This window comes from Homo sapiens, chromosome 15 (genome assembly GCF_000001405.40).
Source record: "Homo sapiens chromosome 15, GRCh38.p14 Primary Assembly".
In the NCBI taxonomy this organism is placed as follows: Eukaryota; Metazoa; Chordata; class Mammalia; order Primates; family Hominidae; genus Homo; species Homo sapiens.
The window spans coordinates 52,930,203-52,954,957 of NC_000015.10; the positions used below are offsets into that span (position 1 = coordinate 52,930,203).

Genomic DNA, 24,755 nt, shown 5'->3' on the forward strand with positions numbered 1-24,755 from the left:
GTAGATTGCTTTGGATGTTTTTACAATATTAATTCTTCCAATCTATGAACATGAGATTTTTTTTCCATTTCTTTGTCTCTTTTTAAATTTCTTTCATCAATGTATTATAGTTTTCAGTGTACAAGTGTTTCACATCCTTGGTTAAGTTTATTTCTATGTATTTCATTCTTTTAAATGCCATTATAAATGAGACTTTTCTTAATTTTCTTTTGGGTCATTTGTTAGTATGTAAAAATGCAGTTGATTTTTTAAAATCTCAACTTTGTATCCTGCAGCATTACCGAATTCATTTATTAGTTCTAAGAATTTTTCTGTGGAGCCTTTAGGGTTTGCTATATATAGGATCATGTCATCTATAGACAGAGACAATTTTACATCCTTCCTTCCAATTTGGAGGCTTTTAATTTCTTTTTCTTGCCTAATTACTCTGGCTAGGACTTTTAATACTATGTTGAGCAGAAGTAAGAGATGATAGCCTGGGCTTATTCCTGATCTTAGAGGAAAAGCTTTTAGTTTATGGGCTTTTTATATATAGCTTTTATTATAGGAGATACATTCCTTCAATACCTAGTTTGTTGAGTGTTTTTTATCATAAAAAGGTGTTGAATTTTTTCAAATGCTTTTCCTGCATTTATTCAGATGATTGTGTGATTTTTAAAAATCATTCATTATGTTAATGTTGTATATCACATTGATTGATTTGTGTATGCAGAGCTATCCTTGCACCCCAGGGATAAATCTCGCTTGATTATGTTGTATGATCTTTTCTGTGTGCCGTTGAATTTGGTTTGCTAGTATTTTGTTGGGGACCCATCTTGCTTATGTGTGCACATCCTTGATTATTGCTGAAGTTAAACATTTTTTATTATTTATTCATTTTTTGTTTATTGACTATTATTTTTTCTTATTTTTTTCTACAGGGTACTGATATATTTCTTATTTATTTATAGGAACTCTTTATATATAAAATGCATTAAAGCTTTTCATCATTTGGTATAAATGATAGTTATGAAGTTTTATATTTTGAAAGAAAACATCTTTTTCAATGGTGTTTATTTCTTTCTTTTTATGATTAAATATTTTTTCCTTCACATAAGTCAGGTAAATATTTACCTATAATTTTTTCTTGTTGCTTTAAAATTTAACTTTAGACTTCTAGTTATGTAAGTCATATATTTTTATACATATATACCTTATTTTTTTTTTTTACCTAACAGTGTAAACAAATGGATGAGGAAAGAGAGGAGTATAAGCAGTTGATTGGATTTTAGTAGAAATAAATTGACATTCTATTTACTGTCCATCTGATTCAGTCAATTCCCAATTATCTATGGTAAATGAGAGCTAGGAAGAACAAGGGTAAAATATACATCTGTTGATAATCTCTCAACTATATTTCAGGACATGTCTGTGCTCAGAAACATTCTAATGGCATTACATTGAGGGCAGAGCACTTTGGTGTTTCTCCATGGTCACGTCACAGAGATCAGTGATCTTATTGTCTATTTGGATGACCTTGTTTCCATGACAGAGAAAGTCCTCTCATATGGCATAAAAATGAGCTGCTTTTCTCCAGAGGAGTTATGGCTGATGGTGTCTCAGGTGTATATCTTGGCTTGGAGGCCATAATTTCTAACCATTCCTTATTCCTATGGGTAACTTATTCCTATGGGTAAAGCCCTGTCTCTGTGGGAAGTCCTTTAAGAATAAGCCCAGGCACACCACATTGCACTAGAAAGGGTCACTGGAATTGTAGGCTTAACGTATCAAAAATGAACAAAGGTATTACCTCTTCCTGAGAGGATGAAACAGAACAGGTTCAGATCACTGAGGAATATGGTGGGAACAAGGGAACACAGAGTGATTATAGGGTGGTCCAGAAGAGACAGGTGGGCAGGTGCCTGTATTGGTAGGAGTATCCTGCAGGCTGGGTCAGGCCAAAGACAGTGCTACGGTGCAATAAAGCAAACAAAGAAAAAAGATATTACATGCGGAGTGTCCACAGCTTCCCTCCCCTTCATCACCTTCATCATCATCAATTTTGCCAGTTTCTTCTTGGTCCTTTATTATGCAGAACAAGCATAATGGGTGAATACCTATTTTTGAAGGCACCCTAAATGCCAGGCACTTTGCTGGGGAAACAGCAGTGAGCAAAACAGACAACATCCCCCCACCTTAATGTATCTTGCACTCCACCGAGGGGAGATAAAAGGTAAACAAAGAAATAAAATGGATAGCATGTCAGATGCAAATACATGCTACAATTATAGAGAAGGCAGGGAAGGAGGACAGGGAGTAGCAAGTGTGGGATGGGAACATGCTGTTTTCCCTGGCATGGGCTGAAAAGGCCTCACAGCAAAGGTGGCATTTGCATAAAGGCCTGAAGGAGGAACAAGAACGAACCAAGTGGGTATCCAGGTGAAGAGCATTTTAGGGCAGTGCGAGCAACAAGGACCATGAGGCCAACAGCATCTGGCTCATTGAATAGATCCTAGGGCATTGATAGAACAAAAGGATGGAGTGCAGGGAAAGATCAGAAGAAGGGAATCCATGGAGGCTGGATTCCAGAGAATTGTGTGGGGAGTTTAGAGGAAGAGAGAAGAAAGAAATGTTAGAGACAAGTGGGTTAAGGAGAAATGATGGTAAAAGGGATTTTAAAAAGCTTTGCTGTGTCTTATGAGTAAAGTCTTTGAGTGACTTCAGGAAATATTTAAATTGCTTCAAGCAAGACTAGACTGCAAGGTAGCTGAGCACAATATGGGCAGTATGAAGTAATCGAAGAATTTATTATGAGATAATTTTTGGACCAGCAGAGATTGTGGTCAGGAGAGCTGAGGATGTGTATATTTGTAAGGATGAGAGTGTGGTGGTAGGACAGACTGTATGAAAACTGTAGTAGGGAGGGTCAATTCTGGGGTAGAAAATGCTGGCTGGCTTAAGAAGTTATTCCAGTATGGGCTACATGTCAGAATGGTCTTGTGGTGCTTGGTCTTAGCTGATGGACACTTTTATAGTTAAACATTTTTTCATGATTTTCTTTTTTTGTTGTTCATTGAGTAGTCATGATCTTACTGATCTTTTTCTATCGGGTACTTATGTATTTCTTATTGATTTGCATGAACTATTTATATTTAAGATGTGATAAAGCTTTTATTTATCATTTGGCACAAATAATAATACCAAATAGTATCAGGCAACTTAAAGGTGCTGAGCTGTCTGGTGGTGGAGGAGGGATTGGGGGGTAGAGGAGGTCTTGGTGGGGGTTAGGTCTGGCAGTGTGGGATTAGATGGCAAGGTGTGCAGAAGGGAACATGCCTTCCAAAGGACCTGGAAGGTCATTGGCACAGCCTGTAAAACTTGATTTCACTGAACCAATTTTCATCAAGCATTGACAGATGCCTGTCTGGGATGACAAATCCTACCACAGTACCTAGTGCATTGTGGGCGCTCAGTAAATATATATTTTTTTCAATGGGTGAAATCAACATGTATTTGATAGACTAGCTTCTATCTGTTTTTTCCACCACTGGGCACCCCAACCCCCAACCCCTGTATTAGTTTATAACTATGTCCCTTCAATCCATTGCTGCCTTTTGCCACTATGACAATGTTTCCCTATGTTTTCCCTTCCATTAACTAGAGGGCAGCAGAATGGAAAGAATATGAACTTTGGAAAAAATATAAGCTTGGGTTCACATCGTAGCTCTGCAGTTTGGGTGAGTGATCTGTTTTCCTAACTGTAAAATAGAGATAATAATATCCCTGTGGTTAGTTTGATTATAGTTAAGCAAATATTCACTCTCCTCCCCACCTTCCCACACTGGAGAAGTAAATCTTTCCACCCTGTTGATGTTGGGCTTGGCCCTATAACTTGCTTTGGCCTCATGGTGGGTGAGATGTCCTTCCCTGCTTGCACTTGAATCTTGGGCTTAGTTGTGTGATTTGCTTTGACAAAGACTTAAAGAAAAGGCTTAAAGTGTCTTGCTGGAGTTGTGCTTGTCTTCTCGTGCTTCCAATTTTTCGATGAGAATAATAAGTCTGGGTAGCTACTGTGTCCAAGGAGGATGGAGAGAGGCGGAGCAGACCTGAATCCAACTTGCAGCTGAGTCCAGCCAAGCCATTGCTAACCTGCTGATTTATGAGTGAGAAATAAAAATGCTTATTGTTGAATGCCATTGAGTTTTAGGGTGGTTTATTATACAGAATTATTAAACATAACTGACAGATACAATGCCCTGTTCCTTTAGGTTACTCAGTATTAAGTATCCTGCAAGAAGAATACCTAATCCTAAGTAAAGCATTCTGTCTGCTTCCAATTTATCTCAAGGAAAGACTAATTTTTGTTTTACAGCTACAGATAAACTTGTATGATTTGGACCCTTTCCCTCAAATGCTCCTACAATTGAAGATTAGACAATAGCTACGTCTGGTATTTCTATGGCTACCAAGGATATCAAGTTCCATGAAATTTGGCTTACCAAATCCTAAAAGCCTTATCAAAATATTTTCTTTAAAGCTTCTTCTCTCTCCAGATTAATTCCTTATTGGCAAACAATGACTGTACTGTCTGTCTTCTGGTGAGGAGCGTGCTCCCAGGAACTAGATGGCTACAGCTCTTTCTGATATAAACCATTCCAAAATTATTCAGAAAGGGCCTTCCTGGAATATATAATTATGGAATATGGTGAAGATAACTTAAAAACAAGGTTTAGGAGCAGATATCTAAAATTGTTGTCATTTGCCTGCAATGATGCAGTGGGAACTGTGAAGGTTATAGTCTTCCTATCTGGACAATCCCCTCAATGATTTTTTTTCCCCCAGCTACTGCCATTTCCTCTTCCCAGCCTCTAGAGCCGGGAGCACAAGTTGTACAATTACTACCTTTGTAATACTCATATACAGCCCCATTAGCACTTTTTAATGGATGTGCTATACCTGGCAGATTTCTGTTTTCAAGTTTATATTCTTGTCAGCTGAGGCTTCCATAAAAACATCAGAGACTGGGTGGCTTAAACAAGAGAAATTTTTTTTCTCACGGTTCTGGAGGCTGGAAGTCCAAGACCAAGGTGTCAACAGGCTTTGTTCTAGTGAAGTATCTCTTCCTGGCTTGCAGATGGGTGCCTTCTCGCTGTCCTCACAAAGCCCTTCCTCTGTAAGGGTGTGGAGAGAGATTGCTCTTTGGTGTCTCTCCTTATTAGGACACTGATTCTATCAGATCAGGGCCCCACCCTTATGGCCTCATTTTAACTTAATTACCTCCCTAAAGGTCCCATCGTGAAATATAGTCATATTTGGGGTTAGGGCTTTAACATAGAAAGTTTAGGGGTCACAATTCAGTCTATAGCAATATCCAAGAACAGGAAATAGTTAACAAAAAAAAAGAGGACACAGAAGTCAGGGGATGTGGAGTCTTGTGTGGCTTCATGTGCAGTGGCTGCATATGGCTTAGTGTGAGGAATTGTAAAAAGAGGCAGGAAAGGGAAAGGGGTGGTCCCTGCAACACCCGCCAGACTAGCTATGATTTAAAATCTGACTTGGAAGAAAACCATCAGGCATGTCAGTAAGGCTGCCTCTAACCTGTCAAAATTATATGTTTACAGCTCTCTAAAGAGGCTATGAGTTAGACCAGGCAAATGCTGAATGATGGTTCAGCTAGTAACCATTATGGTAGCCATCTGCTTTGTTAGCCATGGCATTTGGCTAATAGAGCATGGGAAACCAAGCAAGAAGGAGCCTTGAGGATGGAGGCAAGAATGGAAAATTCCCTTGATTTCCTAATGTTTTGCTTTGTGATTTTTATTTACTCTTGCCTCGTATATTAATGTACATGTCTCAGTCTTAGAAAGGGCATTTTTAGTCCCCTGGCACTGGTCAAGTCCTCCTGTAGCACTGCATTCTTACAACTAGTTTTCACTTATATTGATGGTAGTGAGATGATTGCTCATGACGCTAGCTGTTTAATGTCTAACTCATCTTCATAAATGTGAGCTCCACAAGGGCAGGTCAATGTGTGTCATTCACTATTCTATCCTCAGTGCTTGCATAATATTGTCCTAGAGGCGGTATTCAGAAACATGTGTTGAATGAATGAACAAATGAAGGAATGAGGAGGAGTAGCCTATTTCCTTCCTCAACATGTGCTTGTGAGTTAATGCATAGAATAGATTGTTAAACCCCACTCTGAAAATCCTTTCTCCACCTTCCTCCATACCAGCATTCCATTTCTAGAAAGCTTAAATTGTTATGAGGTCTGGATGTTTGCCTGGTCTGCCCCTTCGAGGGAAGGCCGATCTGAATATTGATGCATTGCTCTTAGAAATCACTTGCCCTAAATGTACTAAAGGCTTTGTTAGAATGGAAAGAGTATAGGCAGTTGAGCTGGAAGACCTCTGTTGGAATTTATTTTTGTCACTTGGTGTATGTATGAACTTGGACAAGTTAAGCAATCTGTTTCCTTATCTGAGCATGAGTTTGCTATCAGGATAAATGCAATAGCATAGTGAATAGTGCTTTGAGAGCAGTGAAGTCCTTGCAGAAATGTTTGTTATTTTAAGTGGAAGTGGTATAAGTACCTCCTTTCATTGACTAGAACAGGTGTGGGAAGCTCTTATACCAACACCATTATATACTCTTTTTTTTTACTCTCATTAAACTTTTTAAATGGGTCTCAAAATTCTGTGACAAATTTTTGGCCAAGTTGTTTCCATTAAAAAGTACTGATTTTAAAAACTAATAACTTAAAAACTGTCACTCGCAAAAAAGAAAGCCAAAGTGGTCCACAAAACATTCTCCTTTCCTTCTGAATGTTTTACGATGCATCGTTGTCATTAACCAGTCTTTTACTACTAAACTTAAGTGCCCAATTGAAACAAACAGTTATGAGACCATTCTTCCACCACTGATTAAGACTGGGGTGGCAGGTATTAGGGATAATATTCATTTAGCCTTCTGAGCTTTCTAGGCAGACTTGGCTACCTTGCCAGCTCCAGCAGCCTTCTTGTCCACTGCTTTGATGACACCCATGACAACTGTCTGTCTCATATCATGAACAGCAAAGCGATCCAGAGGTGGATAGTCTGAGAAGCTCTTAACACACATGGGCTTTACAGGAACCATGTCAACGATGGCAGCATCACCAGACTTCAAGAATTTAGGGCCATCTTCCAGCTTTTTACCAGAATGGCGATCAATCTTTTCTTCAGCTCAGCAAACTTGCATGCAAGGTGAGCCATGTGGCAATCCAGTACAGGGACGTAGCCAGGGCTGATTAGGCCTGGACGGTTCAGGATAATCATCTGAGCAGTGAAGCCAGCTGCTTCCATTGGTGGGTCATTTTTGCTGTCACCAGCAAAGTTGCCACGACAAAGATCCTTGACAGACACATTCTTGACATTGAAGCCCACATTGTCCCCAGGAAGAGCTTCACTCAAATCTTCATGGTGCCTTTTGACAGATTTTACTTCAGTTGTAATGTTGACTGGAGCAAAGATGACCACCATACCAGGTTTGAGAACACCAGTCTCCACTTGGCCAATAGGAACAGTACCAATACCATCAATTTTGTAGACATCCTGGAGAAGCAGGGCTTGTCAGTTGGACGAGTTGGTGGTAGGATGCAGTCCAGAGCCTCAAGCAGCGTAGGTCCAATGGCGCTGCAGTAGTTACAGGTGAATTTCCATCCCTTGAACCAAGGCATGTTAGCACTTGGCTCCAGCATGTTGCCACCATTCCAATCAGAAATTGGCACAAATGCTACTGTGCCAGGGTTGTAGCCAATTTTCTTAGTGTAAGTGCTGACCTCCTTAAAGATTTCCTCGTATCTCTACTGGCTGTAGTGTGGCTCCGTGGAATTCATTTTGTTAACACCAACAATTAGTTCTTTCACACCCAGTGTGTAAGCCAGAAGGGCAGGCTTTCAGGTCTGCTCATTCTTGGAGATACCAGCCTCAAACTCACCAACACCAGCAGCAACTATCAGGACAGCACAGTCAGCCTGAGATGTCCCTGTAATCATATTTTTGATGAAGTCTCTGTGTCCTGGGACATCAGTGATAGTCACATAGTACCTGCTGGTCTCAAATTTCCACAAGGAGATATGAATGGTGATACCATGTTCACGCTCAGCTTTCAGTTTATCCAAGACCCAGGCATACTTGAAGGAGCCCTTTCCCATCTCAGCAGCCTCCTTCTCAAATTTTCAATGGTTCTTTTGTCAATGCCACTGCATTTGTAGATCAGATGGCCAGCAGTGGTGGACTTGCCCGAACCTATGCGTCCAATGATGACAATGTTGATATAAGTCTTTTCCTCTCCCATTTTGGCTTTTAGGGGTAGTTTTCATGACACCTGTGTTCTGGTGGCAAACCCATTGTGAAAAAGCACTATATACTTTTTACATGGTTTTATTGTATCAGCTAAAGGGCTGCTGATCTACAAATCTCATGAAACTGCCTAATTTGGCCCAGTTTTCAATGACAATAGTGAAACATACTGAATAATGTGGAAAATACATCAATGAAGAATCACACAGATGAATGGAAGTCATTAACTCAATTAAGATGGCCTGCTCTGAGACTATGGTACCACAGCAGTCTAGCTGGATGTATTAATGGCAAAATAAATATTTTCTGCATCTGAAATCTACTGATATCTGTTGTTTTACTAAATATATGATTTTATTTGGGGCTGATCAGAAGGTTTGATTCTTCCTTCTGTAGTAGTGGAATGTCTAATTTAGGAGTTTTGTGCAATGGAACATTCATGAGCTTTGAAGTTACAACTGTGAAGTTTGATCGCTGCTTTTGTGACCCATCAGCGGCCTACTCTCCTTGAGTCTCAGTTTCCTTATCTTTTAAAAGCAGAGAATGATTCTTATCTTTTAGGGATCATTGAAGATCAGATGAGATACACCAGTGCAGAGCTCAGCAAATGATAATTTCCTTCCTTCTCTCCCTTCCTTCCTTTCTTTGTTTCCTTTTCTTTCTTTCTTCTTTCTTTCTTTGTTTCTTTCTTTCTTTCTTTCTTTCTATCTTTCTTTCTTTCTTTCTTTCTTTCTTTCTTTCTTTCTTTCTTTCTTTCTTTCTTTCTTTGTTTCTTTCTTTCTTTCTTTGTTTCTTTCTTTCTTTCTTTCTTTCTTTCTTTCTTTCTCTCTCTCTCTCTCTCTCTTTCTTTCTTTCTTTCCTTTTTGAGACAGGGTCTCACTCCGTTTCTTTCTTTGTGAAGTGCTACAGGTTGTAAAACATTCCCTGAAGTCTCTCAAGTCTATTTTAGGTTTAGCGTATTTAGGACTGGAGTGTGAATTTATTCTGACTCTACTCTATTTCTCTGTTACTCTGTATTGTTGATGAACCAAAAAAATTGCTTTCTGAAGAATGCTTGTTTGAGTTCTGGGGCTAAACAATGAAATATTTCTACTTGTTCAGCAAGGAGTGGAGCCAGAAGGCTAATGTGTGGAAATAAGTGCCCCATGAATGATTCTTATAATTTAGACCAATTAGTGTTCTATGATTATTGTGAAACTGGCAGAATGCAGCACTCAAAAATCACTAGACAGATTAGAGAAGCACAGGCAGGAACGGGACAGAAAGGGGTTAGTGAGAGTTCATGAATGAATAGGAAGTAGATATATTTAATGCATTTAGGTGCCAAAATCCAACAGTAAAAATACATTCTGCAAAAATTCTTTCTAAAGGTGAGGCATTTAGTCAATGGGGTAAAAATGGTCCTTATGCTTTTAATTAGCTTTGATTCTTGCAAATTTTACTATTAGCCTTGAGCAGATCTAAGGAGGTAGACCTTTGAAGTTGCTGTTGAGTTTCTTCTGTTGATGGTGTTGAATTAGAATTCAGGAGGAGCCAATGAAAATAACATGCAAACATTATGGCCATTTATTATCATTATAAAATGTGATAATGTCATTGCTGACTTACAAAGATGATGACCTGAAAGGCCGTGACATTATGACATTACATTTTATCAATAATGAAAAATTGCTGCCTTTGCATGGTGTTTGGTGAGCTCAGGCGACCATAGAAGGAGGCTGTAAGCCTTTTTGTTTATTCTAGACTGAAAACGGAAACAAATCAGCAGTTAGAGATTCATTAGGTCGCCAAAAGAAAAAATGGCATCTTGTCTTACCCTATCCATAGGGAAAGGCGGAGGACCTCACTGACCCAAGGGGTTTAATATTCATTAGCGAGAGGCTTGCTTGCAAGTCACTTAAATGGTGCTGAAGTCTGCCTTAATAACAGGTTTTAAGGCTTGAGGGAAAATGTGCTGCCCAAAGAAGCTATGATGTGTGAGCATCAACAGACAGTGTGCCTTTTTGGGAAGGGACCTGACAGGTGGGCTGTCATTCCACGAATAGGGCACAGCTGATGTTAAGGTGTCAATTAGCTTATTAGCTTGTTGTTCTTAGATGGGAACTAGGAAATAACTTTCATGACTGCTGAAACTATTCATGCACTATTCTTCAACATTTAGAGGACACAATGGAGGTGAAAGAGTCATCCAAGATCATTCTAAACCTCATGTAGCACAGCCATGCTTTTCTGACCATAAGCAGTCATAAATCCGGTACCTGTGGATGAGCTAAAAAAACCTTGAGCCCAAATGCCACGCTGAAAGGTCCACAAAAGCTGTGGCTTTTAAAGCCCCCCTAATAACTCAGGCAGAGATTGAGGCTTTTGTGAGTCTTAGAAAAGATAATTTTCACAAAATATGAGGAAGGGGCAATGTGGTACCTCATCTATCCTGTTTTTTCCCCTTGCATTTATTCTATCAGCTGTAAAGAGTGGGCAACATATATAAAATTCCGAGTCTAGGTCCTAATATAAAAACTTGAAAGGATTGTAAAATCTTTAGATTTGAGGTGTAAAATAGATTTTCTTCCCTTTTCTCTTCTATGCAGGTGTTATGGCAGACACATAAAATACCTATTTATTTGTAGCATTTTATTTCCCTTTCACCTTATGCTTCTGCTTAGGTTTGGGGGAGTTCATGTCAATTTCAGTTTCTTTGGAGGGCAATAAATTGGCCAACCTGGGTTTTGGCTCACGCAAAGGGAACATTTCCATCTACCTCCTCTGGTGCAGTTCCTGAGGTGGATGCATGCGTGTGTGTGTGCACACATGCCCGTGGGCATTGCCCTCTGCCCAGCCTTGAGTACTGTTTTGGAGGTCGTGTTTCTGAGCAGCAGAATACTCTCCCTGTCCTGGTGTTTATCTGACTGCCTACCTCCCTGAGGGAGCTCCAGCTCAGCCTTCCAGCTGAGGCTTGCCCAGTCTGAGTCTGCAGTGCCAGTCACTCTGACCTTTCACTGGTGGACAGCTCTTCTCAAGGCCTCTTGGCTGCGTTGACTCCCACCCATCCTACAAATCTCAGCTGAAGCCTCACCTTGAGCTACTGTAAGAATCACTGCTAGAAATAAACCTTGGGTAGCGCCCTGACCAATCCTCAAACACCTAGGGAAACCCAGAAATTCTTTCCGTGACCTAACAAGAAGCAGTGGTTCTCAAAGTGTGGTCTCTAGATCAGCAGCATCAGCGTTACTTGGGAACTTGCTAGAAAAGCAAAATCAGAAACTCTGATTTAGGGCCCAGCAATCTGTGTTTGAACAGTCACTCCAGGTCATTCCGACGCAAGCTCTAGTTTGAGAGCCACTAGCTGCAGGAAATGTTTGAAGTTTTTTCTTGCCCTCACAGCATTAATGGGGGCAACTCTTAAGTAACATCTATGCATTAAAAATAAATACGTTTCATTTTCTTATTGTTCAATTATGGTTTTCATGTCCTTTTCTTCTAAAAATTCCTGGAAGCAGGGGTAAGGCAGCATTCAGTCTGGCTTGCTTGTTTTGTTTTACTTCAACCAGGTAGGGCCTTGTACAAAGAGAAATGGTTATTTGATATAACATAATTCAAAGAGCCACAAGAGTATCTCTCCTTTCTCGCAGAAAGGTGCTGCCTGATGTTCGATCTTTGACTACGAATCCCCCTGGTTTAAGATAGCATTAGATGAAAAATATCCCTGGGAGGGGTAACATGTTAACCTATCAGTGAAGTATACTTTTATTAAGAATGGGTTTGAGGCAAACCCCTGGTATTCCAGGATTTACTATTCTAAGCTTCGATGATTTGCAAGTAATCTCAAAGATTTATGACATTTAGAAAGTGTACCTTTTGCTGTGGAAACCAATCATATCCCTGGTGGGTGAGCCTAAGAGACGACCCAGAATCTTTATCTTAAGGCAGCTTAAAAAAATCTTTGTCATTTTGCTGTTAAAAAAAAGGAGAGAGTATAAAACGGCATAGGCCTAACGGGGTTGTTATGAGGATTAAATAAATTAATCCATGTGCTCCATTTTACATAGGACCAGATAAGTACATCATATATGTGAGATATGATGATGACAATTGTCTCCTTGTCCCTTTAGAATTAACTCTTGTTATAGTTTACTACTGTCTTATTTGAGAAAATAGAATTTTCAAATTAGCTATTAGATGTATACATTTAAAGAGTCCAGGCTTTGAGGTGGACCCAGATCTTCTCAAAATCCACTGTGGATTCTGACTGGCTGCTAGTTTGAATGGGCAGGTGGCGGACAGGGCAGTCTGGGTACCTGGGGAGTGGGGGAGGCGTGAGGAGTTGCCAGAAGGGAGGGGCAGTACTGAAATAGGCAGTGAAACGAAGGGAGTGTTTGTGCTGAAGAGAAATTTTGCCAGAGTGAGGTAGTATTCCCATTTTTTCCAGGAAGAGCTCAAGTGGTCATTTTCCATGTTATCAGCAAATAGCATTTTGGTAGAAGGCAGCGTCAGATGAGAGGTTTGCGTGAAACCAAGCACAAAGTCCGGAATTACAGGCTGACATTTTTGAAGTAGGGGCCCAAACAATAAATTTTTCTGCACAATGTAGTTAAACACCCGGCTTGCACGGATGTCTTTTTAATAGCCACAGAATTCTTTTAGTGATGCTTAAGGATGGCTTCCTTCCTGGTGGGAGTAGAATCCCAGGATGTCTGCCAAGATGTATTACTTAATGTTCTCTGTTTCTCAAAGGTTCAGTAAGCAAAAGGGGTTATTCTGAGCAAGCTGCTGGGACGATGACAGGAACAAACACCTCGATGTATAAATTTGAGACCTTTAACCTCTTAGCTGTCAAATTTCAATATTTCTGGTCACGATGTTAAATGCACTCCAGTATCTGTTTCAGAGAACTCTGATGGAAAAATAAAAGTTTGCTTTATATTTACACACTGTTAGTAAGTTGTTAAAAGAAGAATAAAGCAAGGTGACTGCTAGCCATATTTTGTATTCACGGCTTTACAGCTTTGGCATAATAAACCAGAACCTGTGTTTTCTCTGTAACTTACAATGCATGCCCCAAATGACTTAGTGTTATTGCCAGCTCTGTATCCCCTACCTTTTAAGAATGATAAACACAGCATATTGACGGTAAAGTTTAAAACCAGGGTTATGAAGGAGGTAGGGAAATAGGGGCTAAAACAGGACTTTTAAGATCTTCCCATTTAAAACCAAATGTGTGGGTGTACATGAAGGACACAGTATGAGTCTGCATAGTTTATCTCTCATTCCTTCTTACAAACATGTGTATAATAACCTAATGCATACTACTGGGATGGAAAATAGGGACTTCATATTCTGTTACATGGAGGCACTATTACCTTTTGACAGTAGTGGTGTGTTTTGTTTTGCCCTGTGCAATTCTGTAGACACATCTTCCATCATAATGACCTTTCTGACAGCGGATGGGTGGGGAAAAAATGGTTTGAGAAAACCATTTTCCTTTCATGCAGCAAGCAATAATTACTTGAAGTGTGTGACAACGATGGAGTGGGCAGGCTTACCCAAGGACCCATATTGGAAACTTCCTTTGATTCTAGCTCTCCTTTTATTCTTTGTCAATACCCTTGTGCAGAATAGAATGTTTAAATTTTCTTTTTAGAAATCTGTGATGCTTGGGAACTCTTTGATTCCGCAGATATTTCACATATCTTTCAGGGATTCTCTAAACCAGACTGACTTGGGTCCAGGCAAGCTCTGTGTATATCCATTGTATGTGTTTCTCTGCCCCGGTGGGCACTGCAGCCACAGCACCATGGAAAGGGCCACCGTGGGCCACTGCAGAGAGAGTGGACAGTGACAAAGGAAGCTGTGCTTCCTGTCAGGACATGCATCAGAGGATTTGAGGAACATGAGTAATGACCATGTGCTGCCTGGGCCCAGGGAACTGAAGATTCCGCATCCATGCATAGTGGAACACTTGCCTATTGGCATAGAAAGGTTCCGTTTCATTATGGAAGTCCATTTTGAATACTGGTAAATTAAACTTTTAGAGCAAAAATCAATATAAAAATATGTCCAAATCTGTGACAGTGGAAATCACCCATGCACATCCTGTATCTCATAGAGAGAACAGTGATGGGGACAAGGTCTGAGGAAGTATCCTTCTTTTGCAGTGCTCATGTTCTCTTTTGAATGTAAACAGTAGTTCCTGATAAGGATATTGAATTAGTTCATTTTCACGCTTCTGATAAAGACATACCCAAGACTGGGTAATTTGTAAAGAAAAAGAGGCTTAGTGGACTCACGGTTCCACATGGCTGGGGAGTCCTCAAAATCATGGTGGAAGGCAAAAGGAAAGTCTTACAAGGTGGCAGGCAAGAGAGAGAATGAGAACCAAGCGAAAGGGGTTTCCCCTTATAAAACCATCATATCTCGTGAGACTTATTTACTACCACCAGAACAGTATGGGGGAAACTGCCGCCATCATTCAATTATCTCCCACTGGGCCTCTCCCACAACACGTGGGAATTATGGAAACTACAAATCAAGATGAGATTTGGGTGGGGACACAGCAAAACCATATCAGATATCATGAGATTAAAGCATGTCCTCTCTTTTCTAACCCATGAAATACTTTTTAGTCAGCACTGCAGTCTGCTTGGTGTGTAACTTCTACCACACAAACGACTTGCCATTCACAATAGTCCATGATACCTTCTCTTCTTATATTAATGTTTCATGGGGACACATTGATAAGACTGAAAACTTCTTGATGGCACAGCCTGCTTATGGTGTCATAAACAGAGCTTCATGTTTCTGTGGATCTCCCAAAGGACTCCTGTCACCTTTTGCTTCAACCCCTGCCTCTGGTTGTCTCTCTGTCCCCACTCAGTGTTTTGCATCCTGAAGCTTCTGTCTTCTATTAGGCTCACATTGCTCCACCCGGCAATACAAGTGCTGTTGCCGAAAGCACTATCAACAGAAGATATTACAAATCAGAGACTTGGACTGATGGTTTTGAGGAATCTAAGGAGAGGAGCATCGCCGCATGGACAAGTATAAGCATTAAGTAAATATGGCCAGTATTACTGACCTGGAATTCTCCAGTATTCTTCACACCAGGAACCTCTCTTTGGCCATTTTTTCTTTCAGCCCCTGCCTACTGCTAGACAACTTCCCATTCGGGTCACTCATCTCCTCACTCCTCTTTTCCCAGGTCCAGGGCTCTCCATCCCCCTGTCTCTTGGGATGCTCCAGACAAATTGGAAAGGAAAAACTCAGTTACTTTGTTAAGTAGAGCAAATTAGCCCTTATTGTCTCCCAATAAGCCTCAGTCAATAAATGTGGACATAAACATTTTCAATACTTGTGGAGGTGATATTTTGAGGCAGGAGAGCATTGTGGTAGAGACCCTGTTCCACTAAGCTGAAAGCTCCTCCTGCCTCTTCAATATCTAAACTATTCCAGCTGAATTTCTCACCTCACTATTTTACTTAGTCAAAGATTTAGGAGTTGCAGCAAAGTGACACTGGACTATCCTGTGAGTTTTTTCTCTTTATGCATGAAGTTTAGCAAAGAAGGGAGTAAGAAGGCATGCTTTCTGAGTTGAAAGGATAAGGAGGAGGTAGACCATTTGACAAGAAGGGATTATTCTGACTTCTAATATATGTGTACATGACCATGAATATACCATGGAATCTCTCTTATCCAACTTCCATTTAACCTACTTCTCTATTCCATCTAAAAAACATACTGACTGGGCTCAAGGCCCAGCATTGAACACCCACAGTCAGGAGGCTACTATCTGGCACCCAGGACACGTGTTACCAGGTGAGTTGATGCTTACAAAACCAGTTGGGTTTGTTCCCAAACTGTTTATGACACTTGTACTTGCTATTGTAATTACATAATTTAATTAAATATTACATAAATTGAGGAAACATGAATATAAAAATGAAAGAAAATTGGTTCTGCTGAAACTAATTTGAATTTTCTGAAAAGGCTGGATAAAATCAAGTCTCTAGAATTTTTGCTATTATATAAGATATGGATGAGATAACTGTAAATAATTGGGAAAAGCTACAAAAGTCTACAAATTAGATGCTTTATCAGTACTTCTAAGTTTTCATTCTGCTTTAAAGAAATGGAAACTGAGAGTTGTTGAGGCATTATATGGGCCTAGTGTACATAAACAAGACTTTACAGAACCCCAATTAGAGGGCCCACACTTAGGCCTTGGCTTTATTTACATCAAAAGATTAACAAATGAATATATGGTTGCGTATGTTTTAAGATGAAATAGCAAAATTTAAGGTAAGAATCTGTTACTATTTTTATTTTATTTCTAACCAACTCTTTCAAATAGTCAATCCACTATGGGGTTACTGTAATGCTGAAAGGGCTTCAACTCTACGTGCACATACATAGAACATTAAATACCAGATATGGGTAGAACCTTGGTGCGCACTTGGCATTAACCCTCAGACCATCTCACCAGAGTATCAGTGGGATTTTTAGACAGGAATATCCAGAGAACTTGTCTTTGTTCTTCTGCTTATGTGTCTTAATGTCTCAGGCTGACCCTGGCCTTGCTCTGCTCCAGATGCCTTTAGCTACATCCCTGGCCCACGTTAAACTGGCCACTCTTGTATCAGAGCTAGCACACCAGTGATGGAGAACACTGAAGTGACTATATTGAAAATTACTCCAAATTTAATCTTTAAGGGACAGACTTTAGGCTTATGCTACACAGGCTTATAAACTGCATTCTTAGCCTCCAAGCTATTTGTGTGCTTAATTGCTACCTGTGAAATCCATACAAATGTAAGAAGTGTGACTTTCCTTGGATGTTAACAAAGAGTTGTTGGTAAATCTCTTCAAGGACTGGGGATGAGGGACTTTATAGATTTTCTTTTATTTCATTAGATGTTTTTTGGGGGGGCAGGTATGATGTGGTTGTTTATTGTGTTTTAAAATTCTTTTTAATATTCATTTTTCCATATGTTATTGGCATACAGGTTCTATTTGGTTACATGAGTAAGTTCTTTAGTGGTGATTTGTGAGATTTTGGTGCACCCAACACCCAAGCAGTATACACTGTACCATATTTGTAGTCCCTCGCCCCCTCCCACTCTTCCCCCCAAGTCCCCAGTGTTCATTGTATCATTCTTGATTAGAAAAGGAAAAGGAAGTATTGAGGAAGAAACTCTGATGGGTGCTTGGGGTAAAGAGGAGACCTCCAGGAGCCTGCTGAAGGCAGCTCAACTGTTTCACATGAGAAGAGAGGAATAGGCTGTTTGTCGCTCTAGGGAGAAAATGGAATAAGAGAAAGGAAGCGGGTGGAGGCCATGAGAGACTGGCTGGTAGGCCGCAAGTTCTCTGATGTGACCCCTTCCTCTGACCCCACCCCAGAATCTCCAGTAAGAAGAACTCACTAAATGCTTGACTTTGAGTGAATTTTGTGTGTATGCGTACACTGGCTTTATGAAAACTTATTTCTGGGCTGAGATTGGCAGTGAAATTTACACAAAGAAAGAACTGAGGAAGCATGTGCTGCTGGTGCATGGAGGCAGTGATGCTTGGCAGAAAGCCATGGGAACTCCAGAAGGCCACAGGGAGAACTCAGGACACCAGGAGGCATGGAACTGAGGTTGGCTCAAGTGTAACTTGCTTTCTGAGGGACAGGGGCATTCTTAGGCACCTGGTATAGAGATGAGCATATACTGACTACTACAGAGATATATATTTTTTAAAGAATAAGTCTTTGGGTGAATGGAGAAAGCTGTCTGGGTCACAGTCCCTCTGTGCTTCAAGTTAGACCTATTATCAGTTAGAAGGCAAATGAATGAAGTTTCAAGGTACGGTTCTAGGGACTGGTGCCAACCTGGTGGAGGAGCCAGTGGTGCCAGCGCAATCTCTCTACCCTCTAAAGGTGTTGTCATCTCCTTGGACTGTTAAGCCAAGGTCAACATGTCCCCAGGGCAGCCTGTCTGGCTGTTCCAGGCACCTTGAAGCACTTCACCAAGTTTTAGATGATAATTTTTCAAATATATATAAAATTGGGATTAGTGTTGGCTTTTCTACATTTAGCAGAATGGCCCAACTTTCTTGATGACTCTTCCCTATTGGCTGGTAAGAAGTGAAGTTAGCACTTTTATTGAAGAACTGACTTCAATTAGCCAAAGTTGAGACATTGTCACCTAGGAGAAGCCTTTTCTAAGGCCATTGAGTGACAGACACTCCAAAGTAGATTCAGGGGTCATAGAGTACTGGGGCTGCAAAGATACTTAGGCGAGGTTTCCTCTTCTGTGCTCCCTGCAGTTTTTGTTCTTATTTCTTTATTGCAATCATCACATCATATTATATGTAATTATCAGAGCCATTTGTCTCAATTTATTGGAAGCCCGTTGAGAACAGTGACCAAATTGTATTCATCTTTTTAATCATCAGTACTTTGGACAGGGGCTTAGACTATGAAACATGCTTATTAAAATGTAGTGGAACGAATAAATGGATAGATGGACATGACCTTATTTTCAGATGAGGACACTAGAACTTTCCCAAGGACACAGAGCGAGTTGGTGGCAGAGTTAGAACCAGAAAACTTCCGATTTTAGCATCTTTCTTATATTTCTCCTTTCAAGAAATTTGCTTGGGTTGGGGTCCATGCCTTCCATGTGCACTGAGTAGCACCTAGTATAATTTAGGATGTTTCTGAAGAGGTAGGACCACTTGTTGCCTAGGCAACTGGAGAAATGTAGGAAGGTGACAATTGTCTGTTGGCAACAATGGCCTCAGCCAAGAATCTGAAAAGTGGCTCTCTTTGCTCATCCCTGAACAACAGCCTTGAGGGAGAAGTGTGTTAAGAGATAAAATGCAGCCAGGCACAGTGGCTCATGCCTGTCATTTCAGAACGTTGGGAGACTGAGGTGGAAGGATTGCTTGAGGCCAGGAGTTTGAGACCAGCCTGGGCAACACAGCACAACCCTGTCTCTAAAACTAAAAATTAAAAAAAAAAGTTACCCAGGCGTGGTGGCACATGGCTGTAGTTCCAGCTACTCAGAATTGAGGCAAGAGGATTGCTTGAGCCTGGAAGTTCAAGGTTACAGTGAGCAATGACTGTATCACTGCACTGAAGCCTGGGTGAGAGAGTAAGACCCTGTCTCTAAAAAATAAAAAATAAAAAGGAAGTTAAATGCTTCTCTAAAGCCGTGAAAATTTCACTCCTTCTCTAAAGCAGTGCAAACTCTGGAACCATTTTTTGACATAGAGAGAGAAATTCCAATGGGGTGAAAGGCAAGGGAGGCAAGAGGCTCTCTTGCCCATGTCTGTCCCACTGGCAGGCTCTGAGGTTGCTGTCAAGGCTGGTTGTCTGAGCTCTTCTAGGTGGGCACCTTGTCCCCCTTATAAGCCATTTTCTCCACAGCAGCCAGAATCATCCATTCAAAACGCAAGTCCAATGTTGTTACACCTCTGTTCAAAACACTGCAATGGCTTGCTCAGCATAAAAGCCAGGGTTTGACAATGGTCCACAAAGCCCTACGTGATCTAGAGGGCAGCCCTGCCTTTACACTGACAATCTCTTCTTCCTGGTGTACTGTTTCCCCAGTTAGATGCATGGTTTTCTTCCTCACTTCCTTTAAGGCTCTACTCAAATATTTCCTTCTCAGATTCTTCCTGGATCACCTTATTTAAAATAGCAGCTGCTCAGTCTGACCACCTTGTTATTCTCTATCTTACTGTATTTTATTTTTATTTAATTCTCTATCTATCTATCTATCTATCTATCTATCTATCCATCCATCCATCTATCTGTCTATCCATCCATCTATCTATCTGGTAGCTTTTCCCACTAGAGTGAAGTTTTATAAGAACAGAGGTTTTTGTCTCTCTTGCCGTGTTGCTAGCACCTGGAACAGTGCCTGATCCACAGCAGTACTTAATGAGTATTTGTTGAATTAATTGAATGATTTAGATTATGTGGGTTCAGGGAATGCAAAATAATTCAATACAGCCGATATTAGTCCATTTTGCTTTGCTGTAAAGGAATATCTGAGGCTGGGTAATTTATAAAGAAAGGAGGTTTATTTGGCTCACCATTCTGCAGGCTGTACTAGAAGCATGATGCCAGCATCTGCATCTGGTGAGGGCTTCAGGGAGCATCCAGTCATGGCATAAAGGGAAGGGGAGCTGGCATATCACATGTGAGAGAGATGCCAAGAGAAAGATACCAGTCTGTTTTAAACAACCAGCTCTTTTGTGAACTTACAGAGCAAGAACTCACCCATTACCATGGGGAGGGCAGCAAGTCATTCATGAAGGATCTGCCTCAATGATCCAAACACATCCCACCAGGCCCCACCTCCAACACTGGGGATCACATTTCAACATGAGATCTGGAGGGGACAAACATCCAAACTATATCAGAGCCTAAGTTTAACATTCATAGTAGGGTACATCTGTGGCAGAGTGCAGCATTAGAAAGTGTAGCTCTCTGCCTACCTCTTAAACTGGCTCCCCTCTGAATATGAGTGAGTGGCATTGAGTAGACTGCTGCATAATTATTGTTGGGTTAAGGCCTCTGTGCAGTCAGTTTTAGAGGTGGATGTCACTGAAAGCAAAGTTGAATGTCAGCTTACCCTTAGTCTTCATAGACCAGCAGCATCTGCAGAAGATGGATGATTTACCTTCTTTTTTATTATAATTTTTTTGTATGTTTTTTGGTCGTTCTGGTACAAAGTGTCAAGTAGCAAATACCACTGCTGACAATTTTCCTATACACTGCATACCAAGATGGGTGGTTGATGGAGAGGACCTGAAGCCCCAGGGATAGCCTGGAGGGAGTGGAAACAAAAGCTGGATGGAAGCAGGTTTGTGAAGAGAAAGTTACTTCACCTCTCTGCCATTCATACCTGATGGAGCTGTAGATGGGAAGGAATTGCCCAAATTCTGTCCTCCTTTCTCATTCCCTGTCTGGTTGTAGTAGACGGTTGCTCAGTTCTTTGCTGGTGGCTTCCACAGCTGTCAGGCCACGTGGCTCATTAAGTGGCTGTAAAAGCTGTTGAGGATCCTTTGGAAGAGAGGGTGGGAAGACTCTGGCAGCTACAGTGCACCCACACCTTACTAGCTTATCCAGACAGACTGAGCTACGGTTTGGGGTCAGACACAAGGAGGCTTCCCTAGCATCATTACACAGGGATAACTGGTGAGTAGGTGCAGGCATTCTCATTGTCCCTTTTGCTTCCATCCCTAAAACCTCTCAAGAGTCTAGTCTTGATATTTATACAAACCTAGTTTCTAGAGCTTTGTTGAGTTCATTATACTGTCACCCATCAGTTAAATTTGGTCTTCATATGAAAACAGGGGGATATTATTAAAGGGTAGCTGAATCAGTATCTTTACACCGTATACATAAGCAGCCAAAAGTCCTATCGTCCAAATTTATTTTAGCAAACCATGAGTCTTCAGTACTTTATGACCACAACATTGGGATGATATATCCCAATCATTGAGGTAATTAAATTAATCCATGAGTTTTTGTTTTATTTACTTATTATATGTGTCTAATACTGTAGTAGGAACTTAGTAAACTTAGTATCCATGAGTATCCTCATTCGGCAAAGAGGTTCTTAGAGCTTCATGAAACTTGCTGTATCCACCTCTGTAATAAGGTTAACTGACATAAGGTTAACCTCTGTCCCTTTGTATAACTGAGAGAATACATGCACCCACATTTGTGCCTTTGTTCTTACCACTTCTTTTTGCAGAGAATGCACTTTCTCTCTCTTTTTCTCTGGCCTCCAACAGAGATATACAAACAGTCATTAAAATTGAATGTTTTTCAAGAGCTAGGTCAAAAACTTCCTCCTCTTGAAAGCTTTTCCCAGCATTTCAAGTTGGTTATCTGAATGAAGATACTAGGACTGGCCCCTCCTCAAGGCCTGCAGGTAATTTAACTATGTGACAAGTTAAAACCTTCAACACACTCTTGGGTGATGACCAAGGCAGGTGTTACCTGTTAGGGTTGTCGCCTGGCCCTACAGGTCAGGCCAATAGGGTTCAAAGTCAGCTGAGTTGTTGGGCATGTAGAGAGACCCAGGGATTCCCATGAGAATGTAGCTTCTTGGAGGTATTCTTAGTACTTCCACACAGAACCGTAATCTTTTGAGCTCTGATAACATTTTGTGTCTCTATCATAAGACATTTCAGCTTCAGGTTAATCTCTTCCCTAGTGGATCAAGACCTCCTTGAGAAGAGGCATAGTTTCTAATGTTCTTCTTCTTTATAGTGTTTTATACATAGTGCACACTCAATGTTTGTCACAATGTGCGTAAATATGGTTGGGATCCAGTGGTCTGCTGAGGTCCCATGGTGTCCCTCTTAGATGGCTGAACACATCTTATGGCCTGGGCTGTGTTAAAAAGACCTGGAAGTGCTAGAGCCATTGTGGAGTTGATTCTGGGTACAGTGCTGAGGCAAGCTTGCGAGGGATGATATTATCTTCCTTTTTAGAAGTCCAGCTTCGGAGGTTGTACCTTTGAGTTTGAAACTGGATTCTGAATAGGAAATGGGGGCCCATCAAGAGTGAAAAAAAATCAATGATCTAATCAAGACTTAGACTCAGGACCATGAAATCAAGATTGGTTCCAAATATAACCTCCAGGCACCTTTAATGAGGTAGTTCCAATATTTTGGACAGATTTAAAGAGACCTTCTATAATAGCTAGAAAAGAATGTTCCATTTCTTTGATGACCCTGGACACCAACTCACTGAAGTTCAGATCTTCCGGGGCCCTTGCTGTTCTCAAATCAGAATTCATCACTTCTTCTGTTCTTCCATACCACTTTGCAGCTCTGTTACAGCCTGCTGTATTTTGCTCCACCTCAATATTCATTTTAGCTCCTGTAATTGTCCCACTTATATGAAGTACTGGAGGAGGACTCAGTCCAACATGGGAAGAAATGACTTAGCCAAGGTCAGGAAGCATCTCAGACCAGAACTCACAGGTCCTTAATTTTGATTCTAGTTTTCTTCTTCTTTTTTTCTGATATGGACTTCCTTGATGCGCTTATTGACTCTGGGTGCTGTTCCCAAGGGTCTTAGGGTTTTAGGTAACGCACGTATAATTCTTTGACTTGTGGCTTTGGATAAACTTCTGGGGTCATGTGTTGAAAGAGGAAGAACAGAGGAGAAACAATGCCTCTTCCTTGGTAATCCCAAATGCCTAAAAAATAAAGGTAAATGACTGAGAAGTCAAATCCTAACTTTGTACAATTCTTGTTTATTTAATTAAAAGTCAGCTATTGAATACCTTACAAATAGGAATGCACTTCGTTAAAAGAACTTGCTGATTTTTCAATGCAGCAAAAGTGGTGTAATATTACATTTGTTGTTTTTATCTGCATCCTGAATAAAATATTTCTTCATGCTTAAGTAGGTTCTGCCCATAGATTTTCAGAGAGGCCTGCTTCTCTGAAAAGGGCTGTTATTTTGTGTGTGGGCTTTGCCCTGTTGATGAACATCTTGTATTCTGTGTTCAACTTTAGAGCAGAATGTATATATTTGTTTTTTGAAGATCTCCCTGGGACAGAATTGCTTCCTGAGCATATGCATTTAGCTGAAAAGATAAATGTGTGGTCAGAGGCCCTTGCCCACCTCTGATTAAGAGTTTTTGTTAATGGTGCTCCAGGTAAGGGTCCTGTGTGCTTCACGAGCTCTTATCACTACTTAAAAACTAACAGTAGTAGTTGTCCATATGGAAAAGGCAGGCTTTGTTGATGAGTACGTTTGAATGAAGATGCATGTTTATCACCCTCTCTCTTTCCCCTTCCTCCTTTAATGGCTCATTGAGGTGTATTAGCCCAGCTCTTCAAGACCACCAATAAAGTTATTCTGGACTCTTCTCTCACCGTGGGCTCCTCTGAACCTTTCTGTGCTTTTCTATGGGCTCGTATAATTGGATCAGACACATTGCAAAGACCTCTTGTCTTTTTTTTTTTTCTGAAATGCAAAATATGTTCATACTCAGATACCTGCCTACATGTATGGGTTGATTAAGCAGCAAACTGGGAGTATGACTGACAGACCACAGGGAGCAAAGCCTACTCCAACACCCCGTTTGGATGCATCAGGTCAGAGCACTCCAGGTAGAATTTGTGGGCTCTCGAATGCACTAAAGATACTCAGGACATCTTCTTTTCCTTCCCCAGTCTCTTTCCAGAGGTGAAATTATACTCAGAGGTAAGATTATAATAGGAAAGTCTTTGGAGAAAGGCCCTCAAAACAATCATTCAGAAGGTTAAACTAAAGTAAGTAGTTCTGAATTCTAATTACTATGATAATAAAACATTTATGAAGTGACTACTTGCTCATGTCAATGTGCTGTGTTATATGTCTTCTAGAAAGACTGCCCGGATCCTTGGAATTTCACATAGCCCATTGCCCTCCTTTCCCCT

The 24,755-nt window shown here is 40.7% G+C and overlaps 1 long non-coding RNA gene and 1 pseudogene across 6 annotated transcripts in view; one reads left to right on the top strand and one right to left on the bottom strand.

The window, feature by feature from the left end:
* Positions 1–24,755, top strand: part of LOC107983981 (uncharacterized) — a 417,903-nt gene that overhangs the window by 126,451 nt on the left and 266,697 nt on the right. The gene's annotated exons all lie outside the window — the stretch shown is intronic.
* Positions 6,741–8,379, bottom strand: EEF1A1P22 (eukaryotic translation elongation factor 1 alpha 1 pseudogene 22; annotated as a pseudogene).